Source organism: Homo sapiens, chromosome 15, assembly GCF_000001405.40.
Source record: "Homo sapiens chromosome 15, GRCh38.p14 Primary Assembly".
NCBI lineage: Eukaryota > Metazoa > Chordata > Mammalia > Primates > Hominidae > Homo > Homo sapiens.
In genome coordinates, this window is record NC_000015.10 from 22,710,431 (window position 1) to 22,725,894 (window position 15,464).

General features: G+C 40.9%; 1 pseudogene; it reads left to right on the top strand.

The window, feature by feature from the left end:
* LOC100133165 (Dexi homolog (mouse) pseudogene) lies at positions 4,039-5,611 on the top strand (annotated as a pseudogene).

The following is a 15,464-nucleotide window of genomic DNA, read 5'->3' on the forward strand; positions in this document are numbered from 1 at the left end:
TTTGTTTTTTGTTTGTTTGTTTTTGTTGTTGGAGATGGGGTTTCTCCATGTTCATAAGGCTGGTCTCAAACTCCAACCTCAGGTTATCCGACCGCCTTGGCCTCCCTGGGTGTTAGGATCGCAGGCGTTAACCACCACGCCCGGCCCAATTTTTAATCAGACAGGAATAGATCGGCCTGGTGTCATGGCTCACGCTTGTGATCCCAGGACTTTGGACGGCTGAGCGCGGTGAATTGCTTGAGCCTAGGAGATCCAGACCCGCCTGGGCAACATGGTGAAACCTGTTTTTTTGTTTTGTTTTGTTTTCGAGGCGGAGTTTCCCTCTTGTTGCCCAGGCTGGAGTGCAGTGGCGTGGTCTCGGCTCCCCGGGCCTCCGCCTCCCGGGTTTGGGTGATTCTCCTGCTTCAGCCTCTTGAGTGGCTGGGATTGCAGGTGTGAGCCACCATGCCCGGCTACTTATTTATTTATTTATTTATTTTGGTTGAGATGGGGTTTCTCCATGTTGGTCGGGCTGGTCTCCAGCTCCTAACCTCGGGTGACCCGCCGGCCTCGGCCTTCCGGGGTGCTGCGATTGCAGGCCTGAGTCACCGCGCCTGGCCCGAAACCCAGTCCCTTAACTGAAAAACAAAACAAAAACCACAAAGATTAGCGGGGCCTGGTGGGCCCGGCGGGTAGTCCCAGCTACTCTGAAGGCTGATGTAGGAGGATTGCTTGAGCCGGAGAGGGGTGGGGGTGAGGTGGCAGTGAGCCATCATGGCGCTGCTGCAGTCCAAACTGGGCGATAGAGCGGGACTATGTCTCAGGAAAACAGAAAGGAAAAAAAAAATAAAAGTACATAAAATTGCTAAATCAAGGAACAGAGCTTGACAGTATATTATTGAGAGAAATAGAGGCAAAGGTGAGCAGACACCAATGTTCACTTAGTGGAACTGCAGGTGTCCCCAGACAGGAGGCTGCTACTTTTCGAAAAGAAATCTATTATTGACAACAACAACAACAAAAAAGGTGGTTTGTTAAAATATACAAATAGCTAAACTTTATATAGCCACGACCCTCTTCTAGCACTGCTCTAAGCCTTTTCCTGCTCTGGAATAGCTACTATTGTTACCTCCATTGTAGAGAAAACAGATGCCAGAGGTTGTTGTGGAAGGACCAGGGAAACTGACTAGGAAATCGACTTGTAAGTTTAGGACTTAAAGGTTCTTCCTGTTTTGCTCCTTACATTGCCACATTTTAGTTAACATACCTCTTAAAATACTGGTCCTTTCTATATTTGGAGGGATTCGTGTTGCAGTTTGAAGTTTTTTCTTGCACTAAGCATTTGGTCAGAAGATCCTGTGCGTTTTATGTCAGTTTTAAGTTAAACATTGTTCAGTAAGGAATGTAAATATGAGCAAACAGTTACCTGATTAAATAGAAAACCTAGAAGAAAAATCACCTATGAGAAAGTCAAGAAAATGTGAACTCTGGATTTGTGGCTATTTTCAGAATATTAATTTTTTGGTATTTAATGGCATTGTGAATATATTTATTTTTAAAAATTCCTTGTCTTCTACAGATACATATACGGTAATTAAAAAATGATATGATGTGTAGATTTTACTTCAAAATAATTCAGAGGAAGAAGGAATGTATATAAATGAAGTGGGAGTATAAGTGAAACAAAACTGGCTGTGGCCAGGTGTGGTGGCTCATGCCTGTAATCCCAGCACTTTGGGAGACGGAGGCAGGTGGATCACCTGAGGTCAGGAGTTCAAGACCAGCCTGGCCAACGTGGTGAAACATCATCTCTACTAAAAATACAACAGTTAGCCGGATGTGGTGCTGGGTGCCTGTAATCCCAGCTACTTGGGAGGCTGAGGCAGGAGAATCGCTTGAACCTGAGAGGCAGAATTTGCAGTGAGCCAAGATCATGCCACTGCACTCCAGCCTGGGCGACCACAGCAAAATCCCACCTTTAAAAACAAACAACAACAAAAAAACAACAAAAACCAAAAAACTGTCCATGCCATGAATGAAAAATTGTTGATGATGTGTATATGTAGGGCAATTATAATTTTTCTCAACTTTTTTTACATCTGAAACTTTTTATTGAACTCATGCACACGTCCCTTGATAAGTGGGGCTGCTTCCCCATTACTCTCTCAAAAGAAAACCTTAATTTACTATGTGACCTCTAAGTATCTCAGCTGAAAATTGTGAAGATAGAAAGGTAAATCAAAAGATGCAGATAATCATGCACTTAATGAAGCGCTAAATCAAAGTATTTTTGGCACATGTGAAAGAGTTTCATTTTATCACATTTTTTACTGGTACTATAGCTATTTGCAAGTACATATAAAACTACAGTGTTACATATAAACTACCAAAAAGCAACTTTTTTTAAAAATTTTATTATTATTATACTTTAAGTTTTAGGGTACATGTGCACAAAGTGCAGGTTAGTTACATATGTATACATGTGCCATGTTGGTGTGCTGCACCCATTCACTAGTCATTTAGCATTAGGTATATCTCCTAATGCTATCCCTCCCCCTCCCCCCCACCCCACAACAGGCCCCGGTGTGTGATGTTCCCCTTCCTGTGTCCATGTGTTCTCATTCTTCAATTCCCACCTATGAGTGAGAACATGCGGTGTTTGTTTTTTTGTCCTTGTGATAGTTTGCTGAGAATGATGGTTTCCAGTTTCATCCATGTCCCTACAAAGGACATGAACTCATCATTTTTTATGGCTGCATAGTATTCCCTGGTGTATATGTGCCACATTTTCTTAATCCAGTCTATCATTGTTAGACATTTGAGTTGGTTCCAAGTCTTTGCTATTGTGAATAGTGCTACAATAAACATATGTGTGCATGTGTCTTTATAGCAGCATGATTTATAGTCCTTTGGGTATATACCCAGTAATGGGATGGCTGGGTCAAATGGTATTTCTAGTTCTAGATCCCTGAGGATTTAGACACACTGACTTCCACAATGGTTGAACTAGTTTACAGTCCCACCAACAGTGTAAAAGTGTTCCTCTTTCTCCACATCCTCTCCAGCACCTGTTGTTTCCTGACTTTTTAATGATCGCCATTCTAACTGGTGTGAGATGGTATCTCATTGTGGTTTTGATTTGCATTTCTCTGATGGCCAGTGATGAGCATTTTTTCATGTGCTTTTTGGCTGCATAAATGTCTTCTTTTGAGAAGTGTCTGTTCATATCCTTTGCCCACTTTTTGATGGGGTTGCTTGTATTTTTCTTGTAAATTTGTTGGAGTTCATTGTAGATTCTGGATATTAGCCCTTTGTGAGATGAGTAGGTTGCGAAAATTTTCTCCCATTTTGTCAAAAAACAGCTTTTTAAGAAATGAGACTAATCTAGCAACTTTATTGAGAGGACGTGAAGTGTTTGCTTAGGAATGGTGCAATTGGTGGTGGTTGTGGACATGTGAGATGTAAGATGCCTCAACTTCCAATGTTGTTCAGAAGCAATCCAGCTTTCTGAATTATTCTTATGAATTCTGGATTTGAAACAGTAACTTCCCAAATGGCAGGGGCTTTCAGCAGAGAGGAACCTGGAGGGACCCTGTCCCTGACACCTTCTGGGTTGTCAGCTCCAGATCAAAAGAACTCCTGATTTGGAAAAAAGCTTCTTGAAAAGAAGAGGGGAGGTGACCTTGGTGAAGCCTCTGGGGACATGAGCTATTTTTAGGGCTTTTGGCAGGAAAAGAGCTTTTGAAAACGGAGATAAGGCATGGTATTAAAAAGGCTTACATTGGAGAAAGAAGTCATAAAACTCCATACAGTTAGGGCAATAGTTTTGTTTTTTACTAGGACAGCATCAGTTTATTGGAGTATTTATATAACATAAGCAAGGTCTCTTGATACTTTAACAATTAACAACTGGATTTTATTTTCTACTATAGGTGCAGTTTATCATTCTGAATCCAAAGCCAAGGAATATAAACATGTATGCAAACGAGCTTGTCAGAGGGTATCAACGCAATGTGTATGATCTATGCGTTTCAGTTTTGAACATAAAGCAGTGGCTCTGAGCGCGACCCGGAGGACGACGCCGCGGCCGCAGCCATGGGTGCTGGGCCTGCAGGGGCGCGGGGGGGAGGGGGACGCTAGGACCTGCGGAGCCGGGCGGGAGAGAGGGCTGCCGGGACCGGCCCTAGACACTGAGCCGCGGTGGGATCCCCGCCGGCTCTGCGAGGCCCCTGCGAGCGCCAGGGAGGCGCCTCGAGGGAGCCGGGCAGCCGCCGGCCACTTCAAGGGGGCCCGCCACTTCACGGCGGTCGAAAGAGCCTTGGGGGCACATCTCGGGGTGCGGTGACCCGCCCGGCGCATTTCGGGGGTCGGGGCGCATTTGCCAGGAGACATCTGGAGCCCGGCCCTGCTTCTGTCGGGCTCCAGGGTACCCCTGGATGGCTGCGCTGTGCCCTCGCCGGCCGCCCGGGCGCCACAGCGGCTGAGTTCGCCGGGATCGCCGGGCCGCCGCCGCCCTTGCCACCGGCTGCATGCTCGGCGCCCGGGTCGCGGCCCACCTGGACGCACTGGGCCCCCTGGTCCCCTACGTGCCGCCGCCGCTGCTGCCCTCTATGTTCTACGTGGGCCTGTTCTTCGTCAATGTGCTGATCCTGTACTACGCCTTCCTCATGGAGTACATCGTCCTCAACGTGGGCCTCGTCTTCCTGTTCGAGGACATGGACCAGGCGCTCGTGGACCTCGGCGTGCTCTCCGACCCCGGCTCGGGCCTTTACGATGCTGACTCGGAGCTCGACGTCTTTGATGGGTACTTGGAGTAGGGTCTCGACTGCCGTTCCCCTCTTCCCTCCACGATCCGCAACCCACGCCCTGGACCAGCCGCCCAGATCATGGCGCCACAGCTGGTTGGGGGCACCATCTGGACGGGGATGGTTCCCCAGGAGGAGACCCTCCCCTGCCTCCGAGGCCTGCCTGCTCCCCTCAAAAGCTTCGTGCCAACAGAGAGGTTCCTGTTTGGACCCAGGAGAGTGGAAGAGAGATTGGGACTGAGTGCTGAGGTTGGGAAGGCACCTGCTCCCACAGAAGGGGGAACGCAAGGGGCGTCCCAAGACCTCATCTGCCTGCAGCGTCACACCGATGGCCTGGCCTTGTCTTCTGATTATTTGCAACTGCCATGGATGTTTACAGGAACCCAGCCAGAGTTTGCCTCCCTGCACTTCATCCCAGAGCGCACCTGCTTCCCCCACTTCACCTTCGGAGAGGACACTTCAAACTGCGGACACACGCAAAAGTAACTCCCAGCTCTGTTTGATGTGAGTTGAGCCTTCAGGCCAGCTGGGTTTAGCCCGAGGCTGGTCTTAGATGCAGCGACTGTTTCAGAGTGACTCAGAAGAAAAAGAAGCTGAGGAAGCTGTTGGGGGGCTGAGGATGGGATTCTCGCTTCTTCATTTCAGGTTACTCGTTCCTCAGCAAGTTGGCAAAACAGATATCATGCTGGTGAGTGCCACGTTACTCCCCTGGCTGGAAATGCTTTTCTGAAAGTATGAGTGTCGTGCCTACTTAATTCTGATAAACCTGTTTAAGCAATACTTAGGAGGCTGACTTCTTTGGATTAAAAAAATGTATGCAACTCCAAAAAAAAAAAGAAATTCAACATTTAAAAGTTTCATTTCTAGGGCAGTCTTCCGGTTTGGACTACAAAATTATTTTGCTTGTTTTTGTAGGGGATCGTTTTGTGTTGTTTTGTGTCTTTCTCCACATGATGCTTAGCTCTTTCCCCACTTCCCAGATTAAAGTCTGTATTTTTGTAATTGTGGGCACACAATCATATCTCTTTTAATCTTTGCAACGATGTTGAACTTCTGTAGACAGAAGGATAGAGAAAACAGCTTGAAGGCAGTCAGTGTGTTTTTCCATGAAAGGAAAAAAATAAATAAAAAAATTAAAATGGGTGCTTTTTTAAGAGAGATTGTCCTATACTTTTTCATTCTGTTTTTCATCACGTAGTTTGTATCATAGCAAGTTCATTGTCATTGCAGAGTTCAGCTTTGCCCTTGTACTCAGTTGTGCTTTTTTCCCATTGGTTTTTGAGGTTTTGCTAAATTGTTGAATATTTAATGTGGGGACAGGAATGGACTCAGAAGAAATGTTTTTTATTTTGATTCTTACTAGTCTTGTAGGCAAACCTTCCATTACTTTTTATGCAAATAGAATCTAGTTGAATATTGTATATCAAGTAAATATGCGTTTCTCTCTGCTCTTTTCATTGATATTTACATAACATTAAAAAGATTATACTTTATCAGAGATTCAAGCTTTTTCTTATGAATGAAGCCCTATAAATAAGAATATTTTGTTACAGGGATTTTGTTCTTTTGAAATTTATAATAATAAAGCTAAAAGTTCTCTAAGCTGTTTTATATTTTTTCTTATTTTTCAAAGTGTGAAATTTTTCTGTCATCTGAAAATAAATTTTATATAACTATAGTCCTAGAAATCTAATACATTTGAATTGTGTATTTAGCCTCTTTAATATTTCCAATGAATACACTTCTTAAAAGTTTAATTAGGAATACAGTTCTTAGTTTTTGAGCTTTCTCTTTGTTGACTAAATTGAAATGTTAATAATTCATTTATAAATGACTTTTCCTTCTCTCTCTTTTCCTCTCCTAATTTATGCTCAAGGCCAGGTGATTTTATAGACCTTTATTCTGTGTAGTTTATATTACAAAATAATATGTTACATCTTGATTTAGAATTTACATTATAGTATCCAAAATGTTTTTGTCAAATGTGTGCTTTTATCCTCAGATTCTGGCGCCCCGTGACTCAGAGTCACTTCTTTTTAGGTATGGAGAGTACTAACGGGGAGGAGAAATGATTCGTTTGAGATTTAGTTATCTATATAAAATACGAATTCTCAGGATATTTGAACCAAACTGGGTCATACGATTTCTGTGGCTATTTTGAATAGCCTTACAATGAATTAAGCTAACTAAATTCCTTGTACTTTTCATTTAATAGCTAGATGTTATTGTTTTAATTTGAAGAATATTAAGTGAGCCATATTACCAATTAACCTGAATATAAACACTTGCTTGTTTTTACTCTGAGTAGTTTATGTCTTAAAGTATGGAATGGAACTAGTGGTCAATTTTTATTAATCTAAGCGTCTCCCATACTTCTTTAAGCTTTTGGAAAGTTTGAGAAGTTGTGATTTTGCAATGAATAATCTCTCCCCTTGGTTTCATAGGCAATTGAAAAGCTGCAGGCCGGTGCTCTTGCAACTGACGCAGTCACTGCAGCACTGGTGGAACTTGAGGTATTTCTTTTCTCTGTTTTATTGAAAATATTAGTGAGTTTATCTTTGTTGTTCTTAAATGACATGAAACTGTTGAGTTAGTCAACCATAAATTATATGACCAGTGTTGCCCACCAGTATTAGCACAGTTATGAAGAAGCCTATGATATTGTTATTTTCATTGGTGACTTTTCTGAGTAATATAAAAGTTGGTTAAATTCCTTTCTTTTCTTGATTTTTTTTTTTGTGAGATTCGTGAATACAAAAGTTAGTGATTGGATACTGAAGTTTCTCATTTTCAGTAGGAAAATCCTTGAAGTTAACCCCCAAAAAATGATGTATGTTCTGTTGTTTAAAAATAAATTCCAACTGTCCAAAGTGCCTAAAGTAGAAGGGGAAGATTCTTCACGAACCTAACGGTTAGATGTATGTCCTGAAATTGTGTGCTGTGAAGTGTGCCTTGTCCCAGTGTTACGGTTAGGTTTGTCCCCAGTTTACTGTGGACATCGAATAATTGAGTGGGGAGGCTCTCACGTTTGCTATAATTTTTTATACTCTAGAGTGAGGTCCTCTTAGTTCTCTTGATTTGGACCCTTGATGAATTCGTGCAGGGGATGTTGAGGTCTTCAGAAGATTGACTTGCTGCTCAAACTTGGAGAAGATAGGTTTGTATCTATCAGTTGAGAGGATTATCGTGAAAAATATTTTTCTGGTTGAGAATACTCCTTAGGGAATCAAGTAAGACATGATGACGAAACAATGATGAGTTTGAGGGAGGAGATGATAGTTAAAGGCGACATTTCCAGGTTGACTGGGTTGTGGCCCTTGTATTCAGGCTCTCATACCAGGGCACGCACCCTTTCATGCCTTTCCTTGTGAAAATTGCCCAGGTGTTTACCAAAAGTCCTAGCTGTGTTTTCTGTATATTCTCATGCTTAATTGTGGACCTGAGCTTTTGATCATGCTTTGTAGATTTTAATTTCTCTTGGTAATGTCAGATTGGTCCTAATGTAGTCAAGGAAGGTGAAAGTATATGGTGGGCACCTAGTTCTATTGAATCTTACATGGGGATGTGTGATGCCCTCCTAATATGACTGATACATTTCATGCCAGCTCTACCAGTCATTAGCCATGTGTCCATGGGTGTGGCACAGTCTGTCCTTGACTCAGTTTCCCTATTTATGAGGATAATAATTCCCACTTCACAGAGTTGTGAAGATTAACTGAGTTCATATATGACTAATACAGGACAGTCTCTTAGAACAGTGTGTGGTACGTAGTAAGCACCCATAACTGTTAGCAATTATTACAGTTATGAGGTGCTTTGGAAGTGGTATGTATGAGATGAATATTTATGGTAACTATTAATGACAAGTTTTACAGCATCAAAGAAAGGTTAATTATATGTTGAGGATCAGAGGAGAAAAATGACATAAGAAAGAAGATAGATGTATTTACCACCAAATGTTACCTTTACTCCAAACAGACACACAAAGAGGGCTTCATCTAACTTAACTAATTCAATTGTTAGTTGAAAATTACTTGCATGGAGTCAGCATAGGTTTGGGAAAGAAGGTTATTGAGTAGCTGGAGAATATACTAGAATGGCAACCATGAATGCAAAACTGAATAAAATTAAGTTTCTCTTTTTATCTTAGAATAACTTTAATTTTCCTAAGTCATACTTATATATCATGTTTAATATTTCATTCTATTTTCCCCTAGTGTTGAATCTGACTTTTAAGGGGTTTACTTATTTATACTTAAAGATGATAAGAATACATTTTGAAATAATGAGTTTCTCCTGAGTAAGTGGACTTATAGTTTTGGATAACTTGTGTTTTTTTAAGAGTGTGGATATGAATTTAAAGGAAAACAATTTCTTGTTCTATTATTTTTGATTGGAATAAGTCATAAGGATAATGGTAGCATAGAATTCTTCCCCAAGTGACTTTAGTGCATCCCACACCTCAACTTTCAATTATTTTATTTTACATATATGTATATTTTTGAGATGGATTCTCACTCTGTAGCCCAAGCTGGAGTGCAGTGGTGCGATCTTGGCTCACTGCAACCTCTGCCTCCCAGGCTGAAGTGATTCTTGTGCCTCAGCTTCCCGTGTAGCTGGGACTACAGGCATGCACCACCACACCCAGCTAATTTTTGTATTTTTTTTTTTTTTTAGTAGAGATGGGGTTTCACCATGTTGACCAGGGTGGTCTTGAACTCCTGAGCTCAGGTGATCCACCTACCTCGGCCTCCCAAAGTGCTGCAATTACAGGTGTGAGCCACTGTGCCTGGCCTCAACTTTTGATTATTAAATCTGTGGAAGAATTTCAATTATCTTTAACAATTAACTTTTCTATGGACTCTTTGATTGAAATATATGTTAATAGTTTAAGGTTAAGCTTACACTAACAGGAAGAATTTTCCTAAATCTTAAGAATTATGTTGCAAATCATGCTTATACTGCCCCCTGCAGTTTCTCTCACCTTGAATAATTGTGATTCATTACCTTAAAACAGGATAGGTTTTCAGATGGACTTCAGTTGGGGAAGTATTGTAATAGCTTGGGTCAATGGAAAGATGTAAGAAGATTGGATTCTAATATTTGCCGTACTTAGAGAAATATAAGTAGCAGTATTGAGTCCTTTCAGAATACTGAAAAGTGCTGAGAAAAATTCTGGAGAGCCTTATTAATAATGCATTATGTTTAATTTGAGAATAAACACTTATCTTAGTTTTGGTCAGTCTATTCAGTTAAGTCATGTCTGGATTATTGAACAGATGCAAACAGTCATTGTTCTTTTCTCTTTAGACTTTGGGATATACTTTTTGATTTAAAAAATGATGTTCTTGCCACTGAGCTTAAGGAAACAATACATAAACATATTTTTAAAACTTGCCCGTTATATTATTACTTAGGCAGATATTGAAATTGATATGAATTCCTTAAATAGTAATTGTGGATTGAAATGACTGAAATGTTTTAATGGTCTTTATTGCCTAGAAAGAGTATCTGGCCGTATATTTTAAAAATGTGATAATTTGTATTTTCCCAAATATTGAAAAGTATACTGATCTTAACTCCATGCAGTGGAGGAGGAAGAGACAAGGCAAAAGAAATGTGTGTGTGTGTGTGTGTGTGTGTGTGTGTGTATAGTAGTGTGTTCCACACACACTAAAGGGAACTATGCAGACATATCATTTTTTAGCTTTTCTTAGAGACTGATAATTTTGTGTGGTTTTATTTTTCTTTACCACCACTACAGACAAGTGATGTCATCTTAAGACTGTCACTTCTGGACAACAGAATGAGGTGTTTTCTTCATTTAAGTAAAGGAGGGGCAGGTGCAAAAGTTCCTATCTATTAAATTGACCACCTTCTCCCTTTAGAATTTTGGGAGGGAAGGTGGCTGCTTCTGTATGAGAGGTTTTCTGCAGTGTGGAAATGCAAATGATATTACTCCAAAGTATATTTTGTTTATCTTCAAAATGTAGGGAAGGAAATGGAAAGGTCAGTTTATAGATCATATTTTAATGATTTATTGGTAAGTTGATTCATTCCTGTTGTTTCATATAGCTTTTTTGAGATTATCTTAATAACTGATGAGAAAGTGAATTCTGTTCACTGGATGGTACAACTCTGGTTTCACTCACAGCAGAGAAGATTAATATTGTGAAAGAATTTGGTCTTCATATTTGGGACTATACATTTGAATGCCAGTTGCTTTTTTGGCTGCTTTTGAAATAGTTTTGGATCAAGTAGTGACAGTGGATTTAAGATTCCAGACCATAATTTTGCATATTTCACATGGTAAAACTTCTAATGTGAATTTCTTTTTTGAGAAAATTGGATATAGAACTGGGTGAGTCATGATGCTACCATTTTCTTAGGATTGTTTCTGAAGTAGAAAGTGTTTCATGGATTCTGATAGAAAATGAACTATTTATAAAATACTGCCTGAAGCTCCTTTTGCACAATGGTGTTTTTCTTAAAAAGTACAAAGACCTGGTTTAAAAAAGTCTAATGAGTAATAATAGGTGAAATATGAATGACAGACTTTTGGAAGGTAATTTATAATCTTTTGTGAGAAAACTGATGAATTTCGCAGAGGTTTTGAAGATCTTGTTGTAACCTTTGAGAAATTTTGGTTAATTCATTCTGAAAACTGATTATTTTGGTAGGTAGAATACCGTGTATTAAGAATAGTGATGGGGCCGGGCACAGTGGCTCACGCCTGTAATCCCAGCACTTTGGGAGGCCGAAGTGGACGCATCACGAGGTCAGGAGATCAAGACCAGCCTGGCCAATATGGTGAAACCCCATCTCTAATAAAAATACAAAAATTAGCTGGGCGTGGTGGCGTGTTCCTGTAATCCCAGCTAGTTGGGAGGCTGAGGCAGAAGAATTGCTTGAACTGGGACCCAGGAGGCAGAGGTTGCAGTGAGCTGAGACTGCACTGAGACTGCGCCACTGCACTCCAGCCTGGGCTACGGACTGAGACTCCGTCTAAAAGAAAAAAAAAAAAGAATAGTGATAGGAATAGCTTTTACGTTTTATGTAGTAAAAGGCAAATTATACAGGTTCCTTTGTTAAAAATCTTTTGTTGAACTTCTGTTATTAAAAATGGACTGTGAAGTTTTTTACTCACTTAATTCATGCTTTAAAGCTCCCTATGGTCAGGGGAGATGCTAATTCATGGTTAAAACTCGTTTCTTGTCCAAATGCTTTAGCGTTTATAGGGCAGATTATATTGGGCCAAGTTTTTAGTCATTCTGTTAAAAACAGTTCATCGTCTTTGGATCTCTGTGTAATACAAATATTGCTTGCTTGTAAACTCTAGGGAAGTCCTTTAAGAATAACTTGTTCAGATGACTGATATTTTGGTATGTAAGAGAAAGAAAGTAGGTATTTTCATTATATATTTATATTATTATATATAATACTGTTATACATTTGTCTGTATCTTTGTTGTTGTTGTTGAGACAGATTCTCGCTCTGTCGCCCAGGCTGGAGTGCAGTGGTATGATCTCGGCTCACTGCAATCTCTACCTCCCAGGTTCAAACGATTTTCATGCCTCAGCCTCCTGAGTAGTTGGGACTACAGGTGTGCGCCACCACACCTGGCTAATTTTTTTGTGTTTTTAGTAGAGACGGGGTTTTGCCACGTTGCCCAGGCTGTCCTCAAGCTCCTGGCCTCAAGTGATCCATCTGCCTTGGCCTCCCAAAGTGCTGGGATGACAGGTGTGAGCCACCGTGCCCAGCCAGGTCTGCATTTCTTTAAGTCAGGGATCTCCAGAATGGGAATGTTGGTCACACTTGAGTAGTTTATTGTGAGGGGACCCCAGCGCAGGCCTCTTGCGCAGCTGCAGGAATAGGCCATATTCTCTTCCCTGGGCTTTATACTTCTGGCTGGAATTGTCTGTGTGCCTCAGGGGGATAGAAGAAACTTCTAAGGCCTGCCAGTCCTTGAAATGCCTAGTGGTCATGGAGATGGTGTGGCTTCCTGATGGCATATGGGCATACCTAGGATGGAAGGGGACATTGGAAAGAGCTGATACATTTCCCTTTTCCCTCACCAAACTTATAACAAGTTTTCTTGTGAGCAGATGCTTAACCACACCCTGCTCCCTACCCTACTTCAGTCATTTGGTTTTTATTGCAAAAAAGGAGGGGCATCTACTTTAAGGTCGTTTCTGTGATTTGGGAAGTTTAAAATTATTTAAATAAACGAGCATCTCGTTTCCTGTACATTTTTATTTTTGTAGAAATTATGTTTTCATAAGCAGAGTGGTCCCTTGCTCTTTCCCCAGCACCCCCTGCCCCCCAGTACAGCTGACCACACTGGAAAGACAGCTTGATGCATTTAGCTCACATTTATGTAAGTGCTCATTAACTATAATGTGGCTGGTGAGTCTAATTTTAGACCTACCACCCTTGAAAATCTCATTTTTCTCTTCCATTGATAATATATTTTATTCTCTGTAAGGGGAGTGGGATGTGTTTCTACGTATGTAAAGTAGAAGATTTACCTTTTTTCTTTTGTAGTACTTACAATGTTTTCATTGCATGAAATTTGAGTTTTGACCTTAGGTGCTCTTTTTTCCTTTTTTTTTTCTTAACTTGGTATTATTGATGATTTCAAAGACCCTATTTTGCCTGTCTGTTTAGCAGTATTCCCAGCGGTGCTTCAGTATTTCTGTGTATTCCAGCTGTTTATGGAGTCTTTATGTTTCTCTGCATTTTTTATTTTTTGAGGTGTACACACACAGTTATGCTTCATGGAGTTGCATCCAACCAAGTATCCATGTTCTTCTTGTGAAGAGGCAGAGAAAATCACCTCTCCCAAGAATTTCCACCTTCTGAACAAGGGAAATGTATCCTGAAGAGCTGTACGTAGATGGGAGGCAACTTGTTTGCTTGTTCTGCTGCTGGAGCATTGATTTAATTAGAAGACAGGCTGTGGGTGGCCATGTGCAGACAAAGAAGCACCAGACAGAGCCCGTTTAGCCTGGGTCAGTAAGAGTAAGTTACACTCTTTTTAAAACACTTTTTTGAGTACTGATGCTGATTCTTGCCTTCAGTACTAAGGGGCAACTTGTAACTTACTGTTTGTGTTTACACATAGATACATCTGTTCTTTTTCTGAGACCCTGGAAATGACACATGCTCTCTAGCACAAAGTACCTGCGCAATGGAAAAGCAGTGATTTCTTCCCCAACCACCTTTTTTTTTTTAAGAATAAAAAGAAAATGGAATCAATGATTACATTCTAGATTAATTTTACACTGTAGCAAACCCGGTGTTAGCGTTTGACCAAGTCAAAACACTTAAGTATAGAGCTTGTCATGCTTTTACTTTGTAGTAATGGGAACATGAGAAACGATTTTAGCCTTTTCCAGCCATTTCTTGATAAGGTATGTGGGTCTCATCAGATATATTCATCCTGGCCGAACCTAGTAGAAGAGAGGGTCCAAGATCAGACCTAGCAGTTCCTGAGGAGCATGGAACTCTATATGTGTGCCCTTGTTTTTCTCTGGGAGTTGTTACTCTCAAAAATATACTTCATTTTGGAAATCAGTTTTGAGCTACCTAAAGCCACATATGGTAGTGTGGTGGAGTTAGTGGAAATCCTGTGTTGTTGACTATGTGGAAGCCATTTAGACTTTTGGATTTTTGAGTATAAAATGTCTTCTAGTCCTATATTAATAGGGATATTACACAAAAGGGATTTAATTAGATTCATTGGTCCTAGGATTTATAGTGTTGTGATTTTTGAATCTGTGTGTGTGTGTGTATATATTTGTGTTTGTTTGGATCTGTATCATTTGTGGCATCAGGTTTATACCTTAGCATCTACTGTTTTGGTTTGTTTTGCTCTTGGTAATGAAGGAAGTAGGCTAAAAAGATTTTTCTATGTTTGGAAAATCACAGGCTGGTATGATGGTGTTTAATTTCAAAGACTACCTTTTGATTTTAAGTTTTTTTCCATCTCTCAAACCCACCCCTTTATTCAGAATCTGGAAAAGAATGAGGAAGAAACTTAAGTTACATAATTTTTAAGATTCTCGGCCTGGCACGGTGGCTCACACCTGTAATCCTAGCACTTCGGGAGGCCGAGACGGGCAGATCACGAGGTCAGGAGATCGAGACCATCCTGGCTAACACGGTGAAACCCCGTCTCTACTAAAAATACAAAAAATTAGCCAGGTGTGGTGGTGGGTGCCTGTAGTCCCAGCTACTTGGGAGGCTGAGGCAGGAGAATGGCGTGAACCCGGGAGGTGGAGCTTGCAGTGAGCCGAGATAGCGCCACTGCATTCCAGCCTGGGTAACAGAGCGAGACTCCTTCTCAAAACAAAACAAAACAAAACAAACAAAAAACCAGATTCTCATCAAGATTCTAAATCTTGCTCTCCTCTCTCTCTCTTTCATGTGTTCATTACCTAAGTGTTAGAATAATGAAGGATTGTACCTCACTATAGAAATCAGCTTAAAGTTGAATCTTAGACATACCAATTGACAAAAGTTCTTTGGCCATTCCCATTGCCAGGCAGTTTTTACAGGCAGTCATTCTCACTCAGGGTCCAGCCTCCTGCATGGTGTACACATTTCCTGACAGCTCATGACACGCATGTACTGTAACACAGGACATCAACACTATAACACATTCATAGTGGGGAATTT